General features: G+C 47.7%; 2 protein-coding genes across 8 annotated transcripts in view; one reads left to right on the forward strand and one right to left on the reverse strand.

The window, feature by feature from the left end:
• Positions 393 to 13349, forward strand: CAV3 (caveolin 3). Of its 2 annotated transcripts, NM_001234.5 has the most exons (3): positions 393 to 581; positions 12117 to 12464; positions 12561 to 13349. In NM_001234.5, exons 1-2 carry the CDS (start codon positions 468 to 470, stop codon positions 12456 to 12458), a joined length of 456 nt encoding a protein of 151 aa, NP_001225.1. In that variant the 5' UTR covers positions 393 to 467; the 3' UTR covers positions 12459 to 12464; positions 12561 to 13349. The 2 variants fall into 2 exon arrangements, with proteins under 2 accessions (NP_001225.1, NP_203123.1); NM_033337.3 differs by having other exon boundaries at positions 12117 to 13349.
• Positions 7860 to 21339, reverse strand: part of OXTR (oxytocin receptor) — a 28345-nt gene continuing 14865 nt past the window's right edge. For 5 of the 6 annotated variants that reach the window (NM_001354653.2, NM_001354654.2, NM_000916.4 and 2 more), the window contains one exon: positions 16972 to 19815. In NM_001354653.2, coding sequence (NP_001341582.1) covers positions 19568 to 19815 — 248 coding nt within the window. In that variant the 3' untranslated portion in view covers positions 16972 to 19567. Of the gene's footprint in view, positions 9194 to 16971; positions 19816 to 21339 lie in introns of those variants that run through there. The other variant, XR_007095681.1, reaches the window with a different exon arrangement.

Genomic DNA, 21339 nt, shown 5'->3' on the forward strand with positions numbered 1-21339 from the left:
GCCAAAGGTCACACAGCCAGCCAGAGGCAGAGGAGGGACTAACCCCACTTCCCTCCACGGGCAGTGCACCCCAAAGGAGCCAAAATGCTGACAGCAGTGGGGCAAATTCCAGGGGCCCCGGAGCGACCGCCGAGTTGGCCACAGCCACACGATGCATAGGAAACGCTAGGCCCTCTGCACCCTCTCCTGAGGCCCAGTGCCCTGAGGCAGCCCCCTTTAAGGAGCGATCGGCCTTCCAGAAGAGCTCCAGTCTTAATTTTAGCTTGGAGGCCTGCCACAGGAGGCTTTAGAGAGAGGCAGGCTGAAGTTATGTGGGACAGCTGTCAGCCGGCATGCTGGGTGGGGCCTATTTAGCTGGCAGGGACATAAGTCTGGGGACACTGAATTGGTCTCTCTGCCCCAAGTATTTTCAGCCCCAGCCGGCCACACAGCTCGGATCTCCTCCTGTGGATCCCCCCAGCTCTGCGATGATGGCAGAAGAGCACACAGATCTCGAGGCCCAGATCGTCAAGGATATCCACTGCAAGGAGATTGACCTGGTGAACCGAGACCCCAAGAACATTAACGAGGACATAGTCAAGGTAGGCTCTGCAGGCCTGCCTCGGCGGGCGGAGAGTGTCAGGTTTGCGAGACGTGGGCGCTTGGCAGGGGAGGGTATCTGCTGCAGACACAGTTTCCCTGAAAAGAGACTTGTTGCTCTGTTGTCTCTGTATCACCCCCCCAACCCCACCCCACCCCCAAAAAAAGGCTTCTAAATCACCGAAGGATCTTTAGCAAAATCAAGAGCAAAAAATTAGCCTCATCTCCATGACCTAAGTGCTAATCAGGGCAGGAGGAGCGAGTCACAAAGAAAATCCCTCCTTACTACTGTGACGCTCCTGCCACTCACTCCTGGCTCTCACCCTGGGAGGAACAGGAACGGGCGGCCAAGTTGGGCTCCTTTCTGTGCCAAGGGGCATTTCTGCGGTCTCTCCAGTGGGTGCAGGGTTAATCCCCAGAGGGCAGCTTCCAGCAGGGCCGGCAGCCCCTCGAGGTACACTCACTCCCCCAGAGCACTGCCCAATATCTGTCCCCAAGGCCGAGGGCCATGCCCAGCCCTCCCCTAGCTACCCCCTCACCCCAGGTCTAGTGGCCAGGACAGGGCAGACGGCACCCGGGACCCTCGAAGAGAAAGCTCGGGGTTGTCTAGCCCTCAGGGAGTCTCTCAGCGTCTGAAGTTGGGCCTCTTCCCTCGCCTCCTGGTGACACTAGCGGCCCTGCTGCCTCCAGGCCCACACCTTCAATCCAACTTCCAGCCAGTACCCAGAGGGATCTTTCTTTTTTCTTTTTGAGACAGTCTCTCTCTGTCCCCAAGGCTGGAGTGCAGTCGCACACTCACGCCTCACTGCAGCCTCAACCTCCCAGGCTCAAGTGATTCTCCCTCCTCCACCTCCTGATTAGCTGGGACCACAGGCGAGTGCCACCATGCCCAGCTAATTTTTGTATTTTTAGTAGAGACTGGGTTTCATTATGTTGACCAAGCTGGTATCAAACTCTTGGGCTCAAGTGATCCTCCTGCCTCCCAAAGTGCTGGGATTACAGGTGCAAGACTCCACAACTGGCTCAGAGGTACCTTTCTAAAGCAGAATTCCTCCAAGAAGGGTCCCCAGCCACCAGCATCTGAGTCACTGGAGGGGCTGTTAAGAGGCCAGTGTCTGAGGCCTCTCAGATCCTACTGAAAGCATTGGAATCTCAGGCCAGTGCTGTCCAATAGGGATACTGTTACCACAAGGAATTTAAAATTTTCTAGCAGCCACATTTTAAAATGCGAAAGCAAACAGGTGAAATTAATGTTCCTGATATTTCTTACTTAACCCTATATATCTAAAATAGTATTATTTCAACATGTAAGCAATATAAAACAATTATCAATGAGCTATTGTACAGTCTTCAAGTTTGAAATCCAGTGTGCTTCCTATACCCACAGTATATTTCAGTTCAGACCCCACATTTTCATCCGAAATGCTTGTTCTGCATTTAGATTTCATAAAATGTACATGTGAAAATCGATTCGCATGCCTGTACTGTTTCAAACATTCTGCAAAAATTTTTCAATAATGAAATCGGGGTTTACATTTTAATTAAAGTTAAACAAAATCTAGAATTCTTCAGTTTCACTAGCCACATTTCAAGCGCTCAAAGCTCCTGGCCACTGGATCAGACAGGCCTGTATTGCGGTCTTTCAGTGGGGCACCTCCCATGCTGGAGAAGCCTAGCCTCTCCACGTGGCTGTCCAAACCCAACACAATCTGGCCCCAACCTGCTTCTTCTGCCTGGTTGGCTCCCACCTGCCAGCCCACCCACCAGAGTACATTCCTGTGCCATTGCCAGAAGTGCCTGTCCTCTCTTCTCCAGGTGGTGAATGCCTCACTCAGCCTTCAAGGCCCAACTCAAATGCAACCTCCTCCAGAAAGCCTTCCCTGACTCCTCCAGGCAATTAGTTGCTCCCACTTCTGTCCCCCTGCTTCACTCAGGGCATTCCTCCACCACAGCTCTTCTTATACTGGATATTATATTTCTATACATCGTTAGTGATGGAGATAGAGTATACAGTATAGCACAGTGTGAAAGCTGAAATGAGGAAAATTAGGAAACAAATTTCACAAACTGTAAAGCACTATATACATGTAAATAAAATTGTACCTGTAAAATATTATTAGTTATGGTTTCCATCAGTGTCATCTAGCAGGAATAGTCCTGGACTTGACTTTAATAGACTTGATTTCAAATCCAGTCCATTTTACCTAAAAATGATAACACTGGACAAACCAACTAGGTTTTCTGAGACTCAGTTTCCCCTGTAAAGTGGGAATAATATCATTTCCCAATTTACCTCCACCAGGTAAACGAATCTCAAAGCAGCACTGTGCGTTAGAAATATAGCATGAGGATTGAATGAGATGAAGGGTTTGAAAGTGTCTATCACAGTCCCTGGCACCCAGCAAGGATGAGACAGTGTGAGTCAAAGAAGGGTCTCAAAGAGCTTGCAGTCTAGAGGGCAAGAGAGCTAAGCCAGGAGCCTGCGTCATGCCCAGGTAGCCATCTGGTACACCCAGGTGGGCTGCAGGGAGATGGGAAAGAGGATCCCACGGGAGAACATGGTTTCTAAAGGGCACCCACAATGGCTGGTAAGTACAGAGGGAGCCCTTGGATCCCTCTGAGCCAGGAGGGAGCCAGCTCCAAGCCGCAGGCCTGGATTATGACGCAGAGGGAGCGGCGGGGGCGGCGGCACAGGTGCAGCGGCTTTACGCAGCCCTCCTGGGGCTGAGAGCTGTCCTCTCCTGGAGGCCCTGAGCCCTAGCAAAAATAGCAAAGGCTAAGAAAGGATGCCGCAAATAATTTTGTCCAGAGGAGGTGGTTATTTGGTATGTTTTGGACATTCTCTGCTTTAGGGATTTGTTTGACTTTTTCTTTCTTTTATTTTTAGTGAGTGAGAAATGAAAAAAGTTAATGCAGAACAAGGATCATAAAGCAGACTCAGATATAGATCACAAACAGGTTTAGGTAGATTTCAGGTCTCTGTTACAGTCTGTTAAAGAATAAAGAAAAGAAAGAAGGAGAGAGGGGACTGTGGCTAGGAGGGATGAAGCCAGACTGTTCAGCCTCTCAACTGCCCGGGTTTTGCCATCGATGGAGGAAAAGAGAGATGGGAAGGAAAAGGGAATGAGGGAGACAGAGAGAGATGGAGAAACTGGACAGAGACTGAGAGGAAGGTGCAGGAGGCCCTGGCAGTGCCCCAGGTGGCAGGTGGCAGGGTGGCCTCACAGGTGGTAGCAGGTTTCTCATGGGCTAGGATGAGTGACACGGAAAGAATGCTGGAATAGGACCTGGCTACAGACTCAAGTTCTGGTCCAAGACCTGACAGTAACTTGCTGTGTGACTCTGAGGAAATCCTTTGCCCTCTCTGGTCCCAAGTCCCTGGTGCCACCAGTCACGGCCGTTTCACATTTAAAAAAGCCAAGGATGAAGAGTAGGAGATAGGCATACTACATCCATGGATTTGACCCCCAGTAGAGGGGAGGCACCCCTTTTTGGCCCTGCCTTTAAACCCAGGCAGCCAAGAACAGAGGAAGAGCCCTGTATACTCCAACAGACTTCAGCTGTGGTCTCCAAGGCTCGGGACTGGGCCCAGGGCAGTGTAGAAGGTCATGGAGATTGTAGCTGAGGAACTGGGGGGAGCACACCCCCATTTCTGTTGCCACTTGCCCTCCTCACCAACACTGATTCCACAAATCGCAACTGAATGCCTGTTCAGCACAGGCAATGTGCTGTCCCAGAGGACGTAGTGATGAGCAGGACAGCCTCACTGCATGCAAACCCTCCAGGCTGCAGGGGTGGGAATGTCTGCCAAAGGTCCCCAGGGCTCTCAGCTCACCAGCAGGTACACCCAAGGTTGCCTCAACCTTCAGACCCAGGTTGGAAAGGTCCTAGCCCCACTACAGGTATACCTCAGCACCTCAGAGCCACCCCACAGTGCCTCCAAGTTATTTCCAAGAGGGCTTAGGGCCACCTCACTGACAGCATGCTCTCTCTCTCTGCTCTCTCTTCTCTCTCTCTCCTCTTTCTTCTCTCTCTCTCTCTCCTCTGTCTTCTCTCTCTCTCTCTCTCCTCTCTCTCTCTTCTCTCTCTATCTCCCTTTCTTGACTCACACATAGGCCCCCAGGGCCCTAAAGCAGTGATGCTTGAACCTGAGAGTTATGCAGGTATCCCAGCTTCTGCAGTCAACTCCTCCCTCTTGAGCTTCTCCCAAGTTGCCCTTCAAGCAGGGGAAGGAGATAGATAGGATCCCAGCCTCTCCATGATACTACTCCCCAACCCCCTCCACCCACATCTGCCACAGAACGCCTGCCTTCTTCAGAAAAACAAACACCCATTTGCCCCCCGGCTCAGGCTACACAACACCCAGAGGAACCAGATGCCCACCAGCCCTACAAACACTTGTTCCAGGTTTGTGCTCATCAGGGACACCCTGTTGCACAAAGAAGAAACTGACCTGGTACCTCCCTTGGCGGGGAATCCATTCCTGGGGAGAAGATGAGAGGAGAACAATGAGAACATACAGGAGAAGGAGCTGAACACCGTAAATGAGTGCCAGGTTAGGTGTCATGGGAGGTTAGGAGAGGAAGAATTACTTTCATCTGGAAAAATCAGAAGCCAGCTATATGGACAGGTGGTATCCATGGTGCATCATAAAAATGAGAAAAATTAAAAATGTGAAATGGAGGAACAAAGCTTTCCAAGAAGAAATGGAATAAGCAAAGGCTTTCCCAACACTGGGAAGAATGTTGGGCAGAGTTGGCAAACGTAAGAGGCTGTCATTACCACTGCCCCTTCCAGTGTTCATGGCAGACATGACAATGGATCACAGCACTGCTCCATGACTAATGGATCACAGCACTGCTCCATGGAAGCCATGCACCATCAGCTAGTCATAGTGGGTACAACAGATAACACTTCGCTGCTCTGTCTGCAGAAGAATAATGAACTATCGAAGAGGATTAGGACAGAGGATCTGAAAGGGAATTTGTGGGAGAGAAGGCAGGAAGGGCAGGTTGAAACTAAATAATAGAGGGTCATCCAATCCACCTGTCATTCCATATTGGCAATTCCTTCCTTTTGGAAATGTCTTGCCCTCTGTCAATGACCTCTAAGAAGAGCTGCATCAGACTAATTCACACTGAGGTATTACAACTTAGTGTTATGAGGACTCCTGGGTATCAACTGATCTAGAGTTTTTCAAAATGCAGTCCACTTTCCCAGGGTCCAGTGGTGGGGGCACTTACTAAACTGCAGATTCCTTGGCCTTGCCCCCAGAAGTTCTTATTCAGCTGAGCTGGTGAATGTTTACACTTTAATGTTTGAGCATAAAAGTTTCATGCTCAGGCCAGGCACGGTGGCTCACACCTGTAATCCCAGCATTTTAGGAGGCCAAGGCAGGTGGATCACCTGAGGTCAGGAGTTCAAAACCTGACCAGGCCAACATGATGAAAACCTGTCTCTACTAAAAATACAAAAAAAAAAAAGAGCCAGGTGTAGTGGTGGGTGCCTGTAATCCCAGCTACTCAGGAGGCTGAGGCAGGAGAATTGCTTGAACCCAGGAGGCAGAGGTTGCCATGAGCCGAGATCGCACCACTGTATTCCAGCCTGGATAACAAGAGCAAAATTCCTTCTCCAAAAAAAAAAAAAAAGAGTTTCACGCTCAAACTTGTCAGCTTGTCAGCAACCAAGTCCCATTCATCCTATAGAAGACACCTGGAGCCCAGAGTTATCCCTTGTTTTCCCTAAAGACAGACTGTATCAGTTATCAATTGTGAGTAACAAATCATTCCAAAACTTAATGGCTTAAGGAAACAACCATTTTTTTATTTCTCACAGTTCTGTGGGTGGGCAGGGCTCAGCTTGGCAGTCCTGCTGGTCCCACTGGGGGCCTCTCATGCAGCTACAGTCAGATGGTGGCTGAGGCTGCAATCACCTGGGGGCTCCACCGAGCTAGAACATCCAAGATGGTTCACTCATAGCCCTGGAGGACTGGCAGAGATGGCTGGGAGGCACAGCTGAGCTGTGGTGCTGGGGTGGCTGGCCCTCTATCTCCATGTAGTTTCAGGCCTCCTTATTCACATGGCCTCTCCATTAGTCTCTCGAGCAGCATTCAGCAGTGCATTTCTAATTCTGCTAGTCTCCAGAGCAGAGTATAAAAGTGGACTTCTAACATGGGGGCTCAGTGCTCCTAAAAGCAGAAGGTGCTAGGCTTTCTGAAGGCTTAGTTCTAGAACTGGCACAACATCCTTTCTGCCACATTCTTGTGGTTAAAGTGAGTCACAGGGCAAGCCCAGACTCAAGATGGGATGAGACTACCTGAGGACAAACACCGAGAAGCATGACTAATGGAGGGTCATCTTTGGAGACCAGCAAACCACCCACTGAAAGCTCGTGCACAGCCAAGCCCAGAGCTCCACCCAGGGTACTTCTATTCCTCCCTATTCCAATATGCACCAAATTTCTTGAAGGCAGAGATTGAGAGAGCAGAAGAGCGGATGGGAAGGGACAGGCAGTGAGGCAAAGATCAGGGCTTAGTGGATTGCTGAGGAGCTTCTTCTGGCAGGTTCTTCTCTCTCTGTCTCTCTCCTTGCAGCCCTCTGTTATCTCAGTCTCTTCCCAGCTCCTTTACATAAAACCAAGTCCTGTTATGCCCCAGCCCAGGTGTCCTAGGTCCCTTAAGGTAGACCTGGAGCTGAAAAGAGAGGCTGGAGGGAACTAGGATGGGGGTAGATATATGGTCCTACCTAGGATGCTCTCAACTCCTAGAGCACCCTCCTGAAGGAGGAGTCACAGATGTTCTCAACTCCAAGCTCCAGATGATGCCTGGCCACCTCCTCCACCCATCAGAGCCAGCCTATGCTGTGTTCTGGCCTCAGGCCCTGCTGGGGTATCTGGCCCCTTCAATCACCCTGCTGTCAGGCTGACCTGAGCGTCACTCTGCCAGTCCCTTACGTGCCATGTGAAATAACACATGTAAGATACATGGCCCCAAACTGACATGCATAAAGGGCCATATACATCGTGGGTGTTACCATGGTTATCCCAGATTGTACACAGTTGTATTCTTTTGTTGCTACCTTTTATAACAAAAGATGCAGAGCTTTGTCATTTTTACAGTTTTTGCAGCTATCACCTCATTTTACTTCCTACTTTGTAGGCCAGTGCCTCTAAAACTGAGTGAAGGACCAGTTTTAATATTATTATTCTAATCCACTGCACAGCTATACTTTTGCAAAACGCAACAAAAATTAATCACTGGAAAAATGAAATGAAAACAGCCGTACAGTTACAAGCACCAATGTTTATTGTTAGATTCAATAAACATAAAATTACTGCATCAAATTTCTATGAATATTTCTAAGCACTCTCAACTTCTATAATTACCTTGTTGGGAGACAGGACACACTGATTGTGAACTGCCTTTTAAGTAGCAAGGTAATAGGGGAGGAAGCTGGGATCTGGCAAAAGCTAAGCCTCTCACTTGGGTTTTCTGACTCTGAAGCTAACTCCGTGTCATTACAGATCTTGGCCCAATCGTCTCTGTGTAGAGTTGAAAAAAGAAAACAAACAAACAAAAAACCTAGGATCTCAGAGAGGGAAAGTACCATGCCCCAAATCATACAGTAACTCAATGGCCAGTGGATACTGGGACCATATACCTCCCCACCCTGCTAAGAGCTATTTCCCCACCCACAGATATCCTATTTGAATTGTCCAAGGTCCTGGATGCCTACGGACTGAGTCATGCAGGACTCTGGGGGAGGTATTTTCGACCCCGGGTGACTGTTGTCCTCCCCCGCATCCTCAAGCAATCCCCCGCCCTGCTATCCTACACCTTCCCCGCCCTCTCAGAGACTGCGGGGACTGCGCTGGCTGGTTTCAATTAATCAACTGGGTCTCTTGCTGTTCCAAAAATAAATATGCCACAGAAGGGGACACCGACAGAATGTGCACCATCGTTCCCCCTTCCTCACCCTCCAGCCCCTCTCTCCAACTGCACACAGTGTCCTGAGCCTCAGCACGCAGATGCAGGCTTTCAGCCCACCACCCTCCAAGAAAAAGCCATCTCCTCTCTTCTGGAAAGGAATTAAGAAATGAAGTCACCGTATGCTTGTGCTGCATGGTACAGCTGCCTAGAGCTGCCTGAGCCGGGCCTTATAAATATCTCCCCAAACTAGCATGCTGTGGCCAAAGCTCTCTCAATGCTCAAATCTGAGCTAGGGGAACAGCTGCCTCCTCCAAGCCCAGCCCAGCCCTCTGAGAGCATGTTTTCTGAGATTCACAGAAAATAGAGCACTTGCCCCACACACAGCACCCAAAGGCAATCCCTGGAAATAATTCAAATGTTAGCACCAATGGCTTCTGCAAACACCAAAAAAAAAAAAAAGAAGAAGAAGAAGAAGAAAGATAATTAAAAGACACATACAGAAGCCATTGGCGGTAGGATTATTACTGTAAGTACTGTACTTACTACTGTAAGGAAAGGAGGACTCCATCCGTCTTATCAGCACAGACTGAGACACACGCAGACTCATTTATAACTAAGTAGGCTGGAGAATAATCCGGGATGTCAAAAGAATTTCTCAGATGTATTTTCGAGGAATCTTCAGAGCACCTGAAGGAATAATTACCATCACTGAGCAATATTACCATCACAATAGCCAGGCATTGTGCTAAGCACTGCTCAAGAGGTAGTGTGCCTGGGCAAAGTGGGTAATCAATCAGTATTTATTTGGATGTGTGGGTGGGTGGATGGATGGATGGATGAAAGGATGGATGGATAGATGGATGATAGATGAGCAGGCAGATAGGTGGATAGATGGATAGATGAATGAGTGGATAGATGGTGAGTGTCAGTCTGTTTTTCATTGCTATAAAGGAATACCTGAGACTGGGTAATTTATAAAGAAAAGAGATTTATTTTGGTTCATGGTTCTACAGGCTGTATAAGAAGCATGGTGCAGGCATCTGCAGCTGGTGAGGCCTAAGGAAGCTTCCAATCATAGCAGAAGGCAAAGGGGGAGCTGGCATATCACATGGCGAGAGAGGGAGCAAGAGAGCTGCCGGGTTCTTTTAAACAACCAGGTCTCATGTGAACTAACGAGCAAGAACTCACTCATGACCACAGGGAGGGCACCAAGCCATGGTGAAGGGTCCGCCCCCATGACCCAAACACCTCCCACCAGGCCCCATCTTCAACACTGGGGATCACATTTCAACATGAGATTTGGACGGGACAAACATCCTAACCATCTCAGTGGGTTGTGGATGTATGGATGAATACATGAAAGAAAAATGATCTCAGTCAGCAGGATCCAGGCCCTGGGGGTTTGACTAGAACCTCCATAAACATGGGGAGTGAATATGACTTTTCCATCCCTGTTCCAATCCCGAAGTCCCCTAAATTCCCAGCCAGCCACCACCTCCTGGAAGCCCTCCAAGAAGAAGTAACATCCTTCCTGAGAAGATGAGGCCCATTTTCTTCCTCTCCTCCCATCCACAGGGTTGCATAAGAGATTAAGTCATCTCTGATGAAACCTGCAGCAGAGAAAGCTGGGGGCCAAGATTATACAAGGAAGGTCCTGGGAGGTCAGCTTTTCCATTTCTCCTGCAGCCCAGAGTCTCACCCTGTAAACTGTGCTGCCTGCTGACACACCACCCCGAGTGAGGCCTCATCCTCAGGGATCCCCAGCCTCAGAGCACAGGGGGATCAGGGACCTGAGGTGGGGTGCAGGAGCTCAGAAGCTAAAGTCACATGAGAAAAGAGGGCCCAACACTGTCTGAGCAACATGGTTCTAGTCACTTCTTTCCCCAGAAAATATTGTACTGGAAAGAAATGCACCAAAACAATCATATCTTTAGTAATAGAGAAGTACAAACCCAAGACTCTTTTCTTTTTTCTATTCTGTTAATTCTCTGTGATATGGCCATTTTTTTTATAATGAAAGTAATTTTAATATTGGTGATGCAATAGAGGAGAGGATCCCCTCCCCATAACCAAGGCGGGAAAGGGACTAACTAACCAGGAAGATTGAAGTTGGAGCCTCAGCCCTGCAGGCCACCACACAGGCCCCTCCTGTTGATCTGATTAGTCTGTACCTGCATCCACCCCCTTTTAATTTGAATGGCCCAGGAGCACTGCTAGAAAGAAAACATCTCAGAACAGTTTCAGGCATTAGCAAACAGCTCTGCAACCTCCCACTTGGCGGGCTGTACTGGTAACAACCATGGGGAGACCAGTCATGAAGCAGCTAATTTGGTTCACTGCTGTTTAATTGACCAGTGGAATTTTTTTTTTTTTTTTTTTTTGAGATGGAGTCTCGCTCTGTCACCCAGGCTGGAGTGCAGTGGCACAATCTCGGCTCACTGCAAGCCCCGCCTCCCGGGTTTATGCCGTTCTCCTTCCTCAGCCTCCCAAGTAGCTGGGACTACAGACACCCGCTGCCATACCCGGCTAATTTTTTTTTTTTTTTTTTTTTTTTGTATTTTTAGTAGAGACAGGGTTTCACTGTGGACCAGTGGATTTTACAGCCTCCCATCCTTTCATCCTCATGATACCACTGGAAGACGTTCATTGACTCCATCTTACAGACAAGACAGCTGAGGCTTAGTGATGCTAAGTGACATCACCCATGTGTAGGCAGCTAGGAAGGTGCTTCATGCATAGCAGGGCTCGAGAGAGCTTAGGTAAGCGATGTGAGGAACCTCTGCCTGTTCACCATCCAATCCACAGGTGCTCAGTAAATTGCTGTAGGATGCATACGACCGTCCAACACCCTTCAGATCATAAAACAATAGAATTTGAGAGCTGCGACTATAGCACTGCCACTAAGTCACTGTTGGCTTTAAGCAAGTCGCTCACCTTGAGGGGGTTGAACGAGCGTGTTGTGTTGGTCAGCGGTGCCTAGGAACAGCAGCAGCTTGGGCTCAACAGGGAGCTTGTTAGAAATACAGAGCCTTAGGCCCCACTCCAGACTTGGGGAGTCGGAATCCCTGGGGCGATGATATGGTCTGGATCTGTGTCCCCTCTAAACCTCATGGTGAAACATAATCTCCAATATTGGAGGTGGGGCCGGGTGGGAGGTGATCGGATCACAGAGGCAGATCCCTCGTGGCTTAGTGCTGTCCTCACAATAGTGGGAGAGTTCTCATAAGATCTGGTTGTTGTAAAGTGTGGCACTCCACCCCCTGCCCAGCTCTCTCTCTTGCTCCCACTCTCACCAGGGGAGACGCCTGCTCTCCCTTCTCTAGCCATGGTTGAAAGCTCCCTGCGGCCTCACCTGAAGCCAAGCAGATGCCAGCACCATGATTCCTGCACAGATCACAGACCCATGGGCCAATTAAACCTCCTTTCTTTATCAATTACCCAGCCTCAGGTATGTCTTTAAAGCAATGCAAGAATAGCCTAATACAGGTAGGGTCCAGCCACCAAGGTTAACCTGACCTCTAGGGGATTCTGACACATGCACGCACACACCCAAAAGCTTGAGAAGCGGGTGGCTTCTGTGAGTTGAGGCTTCCCCTTGCCACCCCTGCAGGTGGATTTTGAAGACGTGATCGCAGAGCCTGTGGGCACCTACAGCTTTGACGGCGTGTGGAAGGTGAGCTACACCACCTTCACTGTCTCCAAGTACTGGTGCTACCGTCTGTTGTCCACGCTGCTGGGCGTCCCACTGGCCCTGCTCTGGGGCTTCCTGTTCGCCTGCATCTCCTTCTGCCACATCTGGGCGGTGGTGCCATGCATTAAGAGCTACCTGATCGAGATCCAGTGCATCAGCCACATCTACTCACTCTGCATCCGCACCTTCTGCAACCCACTCTTCGCGGCCCTGGGCCAGGTCTGCAGCAGCATCAAGGTGGTGCTGCGGAAGGAGGTCTAAAGCCAGGTGGGGCAACAGCGGTGGCAGGGCAGGGGGTGGTGGGCCAGACTGGTCCCCGGGGGACTTCTTCACAGGGGCTGCTGGCGAGCTCTTTCTCTTTAGGGACTGCTCCATACCCCATGATGGAGCACACGGTGTAGGGAAGCCAGAAAGAAAAGACGGCCCAGCCACAGAAGCACAATGGCCCTTCGCTCTCCCCCAGCCCCACCATGATGCCCCCATGCCTGGGCGTGGGGGAAGATCATTTGCCAAGAGGCAGCTACTGCAAGTCTTTGCGTTCACTTGTACTGTAACAACATAAACCAGCACGCGGTTCCCACCCGGGGCCAACCTCTCCACGCGCACTCAGGAAAGTGACCAGTGACCACTGGCGTTAGGAAGGTGGCTCCAGTAAAGGGTTTTGGCTGCATTTGGGGAATGCTGCATTTTGTTCGTGCCTGTAAGATTGGTTTGTGTCCTGACCAGCTCCAAAAATATACTTCACTGCCCTGAAAAACAGACACAGGGAGAGTTGGTTGTCTCTTCACTTGGCCAAATGTAAGTGAAGAACAGAGTCTTTTTCTTCTTCGGATTCTATTGTTTGCTGGAACCGTACACGTTCCTTGGAAGATCATGTTTAAGTGACTCCTGTTGCCTGAGCACAAAAATGGGCACCAATGGAGGAAAATGACCCTTGGGCTGGCAGGGGCAGTGACCCTTCCAGGGTACCACTGAGGGAAGGGCCTGGGTTCAAGCCTCCCGGAACCTCCCCTTTGGCTAACCGAGCCCCTGAAATGCCCAGTACTGCCATTTGACATGAGGGTACCTTCGCCCTCAGGAGATGTGACGAAGGAACAAGGTCTAATTTGTGCGTGTGTGGACTCACTATGGAAATAAAATGCAGTAGAAAGAGCATGTATCACTTCCTCCCTCCTCACACTCTCTCTCTCTCTCACACACACACACACACACAGTGCCCTTATCTTCTTTAGGGCTGTCTTTTCCGAGTGTGCTATCCAGAACTTAGCCATTAAAAAAGAAAGGATGGGGATGGGTGTTAGCATCTGTGGTCCGGTTCTTTCAGAAATGCTGTATATTTCTCTCAGAGATTTTCAATAGACTTTGGCACATTAAAGGCTCTGACATGTCCTGCAGTAGATAAACCTGTTTAAACCAGTATCCCCCCAATCCTATCTGACCTTTTTTTTTTCTTTTTTTCTTTTCATGCAACGCCCATTTAAGTCTCATATAATTAAAGTTCCACAGCACTTGTCAGGTTTTCGGAGACATTATTCATGCCTGGCCACGAGCCCAGTGGTCTTGGGAGGCAGTGTGGTGAAGTGGACCACACACAGCTTGGGAACTAGGACGCAGGCAGCCTTGGTTCTAGTCCTGCTTCCGCTCCTAGTTGCCTTTTCTGCCTCAATTTTATCACCCACAAATTGATCTCTAATGTGCATTTTGGCTCCAAAATTTTACCCAATTTTGGTTTTCTCCTAACATTGTATGTAAATTTCAAACACAGAAAAGTTGAACAGCTACATACCCATCTTGGCTCTATCATTAACGTTTTTCTACCCCAGCTTTCTTACATCCCTATTCATCTATCCACCCCTCTATCCATCCCACCAATCTCATCTTTACGCATGTTTAAATACGTTGTAGAGATCAGCACATTTTACCCCTAAACACTTCATCATTTAGCCCTTGTTTCTGCAGATGAGAAAGTTACAGTCCAGAGAAGTCAGGAACCTTGCCAAAAGGCACCCACCTAGCCAGCACTATCACTGTGGCTCCAGCCTGCTGCCTGTGCTCTCCCTTGGGGCTCTTCCACATTGTCGGGGGGCTCAGCAGGCCCAGGCTCCTCCCTGCTGAAAAGGACTAAGGCTGATGTTACTTATGTCCTCCTCAAAGGGCCTGCCCTTTCAAACGTCTCTTGAAATCACGAGGCCATCCATTTCAGACTTGGAATCTTGGGTTATGTAGAGAATTTGCCATCTTGGTATTTGCTATAACTGGATTTGACAATGACTCCAATTTTTCAAGCTCACTGTCTTTCTCTAAGGGCAGACTATGGTCGGTGCTTAATTAGCCACAAAGTTCACAGAACTAGAGACAGGACACACATCTGAGATGCATGGGTGTCCAAGGAGTTCTCCCTCCAGGAATCTCCTTGAGAAGTAGCAGGCAGAAAATCACATTGGGGTTATGATGAGAATGGGCCTGAGGCAGGAGGATGGAGTTCCATTCCCTCTCATAAGATACATAGGGGACCACCAGGGACTCCTGTTTGAAATGCAGGTTCCAAGGCTCTAGCTACAGTGTTTGATTCAGTAGTGGGGCCCAGGAATCAGCATGTTAACACAAACTCATTTGTGATGCTACAGATGGCTCCCAAATCCACTTTTAAGAAATATTTGTTAGGGTTCCTTCAAGGTAACAGTCTAGAATCCTATCATCCCCAGAGTTCCACTGTGGTTCAGAGCAGATTCAGGGACATCATACATGATGTTTGTTCCTGAATCTTAGAGCATCTTCCCACAGAACTCTGATAACTGAGTGCACCTGTGATTCCAGAGAATGGGACCAGGGCCCCCTTCCACACCCTGTCACAGCCCATGCATCTGTGCCGTAATCAGGCCAATAACTCTGAAGCCCTGCAGGGATCTGGGGTCTACAAGCCACCAGTTCCAGTCACCGTTCTTGGGAGGAAGAACGGGGGCAAAGCAATGTATGGAAACAAATGTTTATCTAGTGCACTCTCTATCAAGCAGCTAATGAAGCAGACAACTTATGATCAGCCATGTCATTCACCAACTGGCACAGTTACAGAGGGGTGCCAGAGCAGGTCACCACAGTAGAACAAAATCAAGGTGTTCACATTTTGCCTTAAGTGGCGTTTCATTGCTATTGAATACAAAAAGTGTTAAACACTTTGAAACCAGGATTTTCTTAAAAGACAGCCTGCATTGTCCCCTTACATTTCCTGAAGTGGCAACACATAGACTCAAGCCAAAAGAAGACCAAAGTATGTGTCAGATTTTTTTTTCCAGCGCTTAAAGAAATAAGCCTCAGAGTTTCCACGTTCACTTTTGATGATCAGAGCCATGATACATTGCAGAAGACAATCTGCAGCTCCCACTTCCTGGCAACCCCGGCCATGCATATGGTTGTAAACAAGTCTGAAACTGTAGGGAAAGGTGGTTGGCAGACCTCAGGCATGGGGTCTGGGGAGGAGGCCAGAAACAACTGAACCCAAGGTAGCGTTCTGAACCCCTGCGCTCATTCTTCTAGGCTTTAGTTGGGGAAAGACTAAGAAATGGTGAAAATGCTCTCAAGGAGATGGGTGGGGGTCGGGGTGTATATCCAGTGGGGCTATTGAAATTGAATGTCACTTATTTGCCATAAAACAGACTCCTGCGCCATAATAAGACCCAATGTACCCGCCAGAGCTTTCACACGAAGAGAGTGACAAAGCATCCCACTTGGTTCTGATGCCCAAGAGTCTTATAACTCCAGGGTTCCCAGGAAGGCTGTGCTCCTGGTCAGAAAATCTACTGTGAGTTGCTGTCCCTTTGATCCCCAGTGGCCTCTGTTGGCTCCTAGGATGGCAACTTCCCTGGGAACAGCAGAGTCCTGGGGCATCTCTGGCTGGTGGGCAGCGAGGCATGAATGCTAACAGACCCCACTGCTGCTGCATTTGCACCCAGAGCTCACCAGTGCTCCAGTACATGTGCACAGAGGCCCCAGAACTGCATCCTGTTAGCTTCCCAAAGAGCAAGGACTGGCTGGTGTTGACCCTCTTCGTGCATGTCCCAGCAACACTGAGCAATGCTTTGCAGTCCAAAGACGATACTATCTTCAGTCTCCGGGTAGTACTGAAGACCTTGTGCTAAATCCTTAGACTTTGAACGTGGACATTTCAGTGCAAGCCTCTCTTCTCCCAGAACCTCTAGACAATGCTAGCTCATTCTATTGTGTGTGTATGCGCGTGTGTGTGGCTATGTGGCTACTGCAGCATGGAGGAAGAATAAAGTGTGTTATAAAGAGACAGAGTGGATCTGTGGCCTTTGAGAGTGCTCCTGCTGTATCTCAGTAAGTACAAAAATGTGCCTGGAAACTTAAAAGGTGCCCCACCATGCACTCAGCTGGCCAGTCCCTGACAGTAAACCTCTGATCAGTAGTGTCCTGTATTTAGTGACTAAAGGTATTTCTTAGACGTGGTCATGTCCTAACCTCAAGGCTGAGAGGACATTTGAGAACATGTTCACTAGGTAAGAAAAACCTCTGACACCTCTAGTGAATTTCTATTTTAAATAAAACATAACAACCTGCAGCTACAAGGCATCACTTGTGCCTTTACAAAGTAGGGATATATTTTCACTGCTGTTACTTTTTGCCAAATAGAGACATCATCTCTTGCAGTAAAACTGAGTAAGAAAATGATGAGATCCCTCTCAAGCAGTGAGCCACATAGAGAAACAAAAGTGCTGAGAGGCAAGAGATTCCAAGGAATTCATCCATCAAGCTGGCCTTCTCTGAATTCATCTGTTGAATTTTTTTTGTTTATTTTTATTTTTTAAAGTTCATTGGTTTTTAGTACATTCTCAAAATCGTGCACAATCACCACTAATTTCAGAACATTTTCATCACCCGAAAAAGAAACCCCAAACCCTTAGTAGTCATGCCTCATCTCTCACAGCCTCCAGGCCCTGGCAAACGCTAATCTATATTCACTCTATATAGATTCGTCCATTTTAGACATTGCATTTCAATGCAGTCAGACAATATGTGGGCTTTTGCACCTGGCTTCTTTCACTTAGCAAGTTTTCAAGGCTCATCCATGTTGTGGCATGTGTGAGTACTTCATTTCTTTTTAGAGTCTAATAATGTTCCATTGCGTGGACAGACCACATTTTATTTCCCATTCATCAGTTGGTAGACATTTGGGTTGTTTCCACTTTTTGGCTATTACAAATAATGTTGCTATGAACATTGGTGTACAAGTTTTTGTGTGTATGTACGTTTTCATTTCTCTTGGGTAAATACCTAGGAGTGGCATTCCTGGGTCATATGGTCACTCTACGTTTAACTTTTTGAGGTACTGCCAAACTGTTTTTCAAAGCAGGTGCACCATTTACATTCCCACCAACAATTTAAATTTCTACCAGTTTCTCTACATCCTCACCGACACTCGTTCTTGTCCATCTTTTTATTGTAGCCATCCTAGTGATTGTAAACTGGAATCTCATTGTGATTTTGACTTGCATTTCCCTAATGAATAATAATGTTGAGTATTTTTTCATGTGCTTAGTAGCCATTTGCATATCTTCTTTGGAGAAATGTCTATTCAAACCGTTAGCCCATTTTTTAAATTGATTTATTTTTCTCCTTATTGTTGTGTTATAAGAGTTATTTATATATTCCAGATACAAGCCCCTTATCATATATATGACTCGCAAATATTTTCTCCCATTCTGCAGGTTATCTTTTCACCTTCTTGATAGGGTCTTTTCAATCACAAAAGCTTCAAATCTTGATTAAGTCCAATTTACCTATTTTTCCATTGGTTGCTTGTGTCTTTGGTATCATATCTAAGAAACCACTGCCTAATTCAAGGTTACAAAGATCTATGCCTATGTTTCTTTCTAAGATTTTATAGTTTCAGCTCTTATATTTAGATCTTGGATGCGTTTTGAGTTGATTTTTGCACATAGTGTGAGTAAAGGTCCAACCTCATTCTTTTGCACTTGCATATCATTGTCTCGGTGCCATTTGTTGAAAAGACTCTCCTTTCTCTATTGAATTGTCTTGGGAACCTTGTCAAAAATCAATTGACCGTAAGTATAAGTGTTCATATCTGTACTCTTTATTCTGCTCCGTATGTCTATCCTTAAACCAGTAACACACTGAGCTGATTACCTTTATCGTAAATTATGAAATCAGGAAGTGTGAATCCACCAACTTTGTTCTTTTTCAAGGCTTATTTGGATATTCTGGGTCCCTTGCATTTCTTTATGAATTTTGGGACTAGCTTATCAATTTCTGTAAAGAAGCCAGCTATGATTTTCATAAGGATTGCACTGAATCTGCATGTCAGTTAGGATAGTATTGCCATCTTAACAATACTAAGTCTGATCCATGAACACAGGATGTCTTTCCATTTATTTAAGCCTTCTTTAATTTCTTTCCAATTTTGTAGTTTTCAGTCTTGCACTTGTTTTGTTAAGTTGATTCCTATTTTATTCTTTCTGATGGTATTATAAATGGAATTATTTAACTTCGTTTTCATATTGTTTGTTGCTAGTATAAAGAAATACAATTCATTTTTGTATATTGATCTTGTATCTTGAAACCTTGCGGAACTTGCTTATTAGTTCTAATAGCTGTGTGCGTGTGTGTGTGTGTGTGTGTGTGTGAGTTCCTTAGGATTTTCTATATACAAAACTGTGTCATCTGCAAATAGTTTTACTTCTTCTTTTCCTATCTGGATACATTTATTTCTTTTTCTTTCCCAAATGCTTCTTAAACATTAGCTTCTTAAACATTTTTAACCCAAGTTCTAATAGGTCCACTGCGCCAGATGGTCTTACAAGGTAATCCCCTTCTCTTAGGGCTACCCTCTGACAAGCTGGTCCCCAAGGACCCCAGCATTTGTTCGCTTAAAGGCAAATACACTTTGAGGTCAGGAGGATCTTAGCACCACCCTTCCCATCTGAGGTCCCAACCCCACTGCTTACCCCAAGTCCAGAACACTGGACTTCCTGACCCAATTGGTCACCAATCCTATATTTACCGCTTTTCACAATATCCCAGAATGAAGAAGTAAAAATATACTGGAGTGAAATTACAAGTCCAGGAGAAAAAACAAGCCACTCACTGCCCAGGGCAGCAGTGGGTTCAGGGTGGTAGAAGTACGTGTAGGAGGCCAGGGTGTTGTCTGATGGCTGAGTCCCCTATCATCTTCCATCATGGAGGCCACTCTCCACCCCACTGAAGCCACCCCAAGGAGGGGAGGGATACAAACTGATAGGTACCTTATACACAAACATACGCCATCACCTAGGAGCAGAGCACTTATGCCAGCACAGCCTGAGCCTCAGGCTGCAGCCCTGGCCCTGGCTGGTGGGTCACGCCGTGGATGGCTGGGAGCAGCTCCTCTGGCTGGAGCTGCGATGGCTCAGGACAAAGGAGGACGAGTTGCTCTTTTTGCTGGCACTCGTCTCTCCCAGGCGTCTGCCCTTCAGGTAGCTGGCGGAGCAGCACAGGAAGCGCTGCACGAGTTCGTGGAAGAGGTGGCCCGTGAACAGCATGTAGATCCAGGGGTTGCAGCAGCTGTTGAGGCTGGCCAGGAGCATGACGATGATGAAGGCCGAGGCTGAGGGGGTGGGGGCAGGAGAAAGGAGAAAAGGGCATTAATTAACACTGGAGCCACTTCCAGACCTATCTGACTTAAACATCATTTCCTGAGCGACAGCCTTGTCCAAGTACTACATCCTGAATCACAAGATGAGGTACTAAAGAGGCAAAGTTTGTCTTCCTTCTCCCTCCTTGTCCTGGACATGCCCTCAGGCTGTCCTCCAAACCCTCCCCACCAGGCTTAGCCCAGGCTTGGAACTGTCTCTGCCTTTCTCTCACCAGCAGCTTTCCCACTGCCTACCTCCCTCAGCAGAAGCTGAATCCATCACAGCCACCTTTTCATGCATCACTCACCCAATGAATGTTGAGTGCCTACAACTTCGAGTGTCTGCAAGCACAGTACCCAAAAGCTGCCACACCTAGTTTGCATGCTAGCCTCACCAGCGCCTAGTTACTTGAAGTCCCTAAGAAGCTTCGGTTTCCTAATCTTTAAATGGGCATAAGGAGAGTGCCCAAACCTCTGGGGACTGCTGCAAGGATTAAAGAGTGCCTGGTACACAGTGGGTGCCCAATAAATGATGGCTGCTATCACGACCATGTGCCGGGCAAATCAAATAAAATGAGAAACACCACGATGCAGACATCTTGTGGTTTAGGTAGGCACCGGAAGGGGGTGCCACTCTGAGAGTCATGGCTGGCCCCACAAACGGGGCATGTGAGCTGATTCCCAAAGATGCCTATGGTTTTTCCAGGCAGAGCAGGGAAGAAATGTGCTCCAGGCAGAAGGAATGGCCCCAGCAAAGGCGTGGCAGCGAGAAACTGTATGACATCTTCATGGCTGACCAACTGAAAGCATCTCCATGAAGCTGTGCCTAAGAGCACTGCTTCAGCATGACAATAAGACTCATGCAGGAAAAAGAAAGTGACATGGAAGTTATCTGAAGTACTCTGTAAAGGCTATTATACTGAGGACTCATGGAGGTGCAGGCAAAGTTAATGATCAGAAATCAGCTTCAAGACATTGCTTGTCACAAACTGAAACTTCAAGAGGGAAGAAAAAAATCCTAATTCTAGGTACTTCCAAGCACGGGGATAAAAATCTGCCTTCTTTCAATGGCCTTAAATCTGAACAACCAGACATCTCCTGATGACAGACAAGGCCAGGCAACATCTCCAGAAACCCACAAGGAAAACAACTAAGAATTCTGTTCAGCCACCTCCTTGTGTGTGAAGGCAACTGCAAGAAGGCTGGGAAAATCCACTAGTCTTCCTTCTGTCTGCTCTGCAAAATTTTTTGACAAATAACTCTAGAGTTCAGAGCTAAATCCAGGGAAGGACTCTTCACTGGGGATGCTCAAGAGGTGCAAAATCTAGATGTGGCCACTGATGAAGAGAACAGAGATGTTTGTCAGCGAAGTCTTCAAGCACCAAGGGAAGAAAGGCAGTTGGTTGTTGGTAAGTCTACATGAGTGGCTCTCAAAGTAGGCCCCCCTCCCAGAGCGACACATCACATGGGAACTTGCTGGAAATGCACATTCTCAGG

The sequence above is a fragment of the Homo sapiens genome, chromosome 3 (genome assembly GCF_000001405.40).
Source record: "Homo sapiens chromosome 3, GRCh38.p14 Primary Assembly".
Classification (NCBI taxonomy): domain Eukaryota; kingdom Metazoa; phylum Chordata; class Mammalia; order Primates; family Hominidae; genus Homo; species Homo sapiens.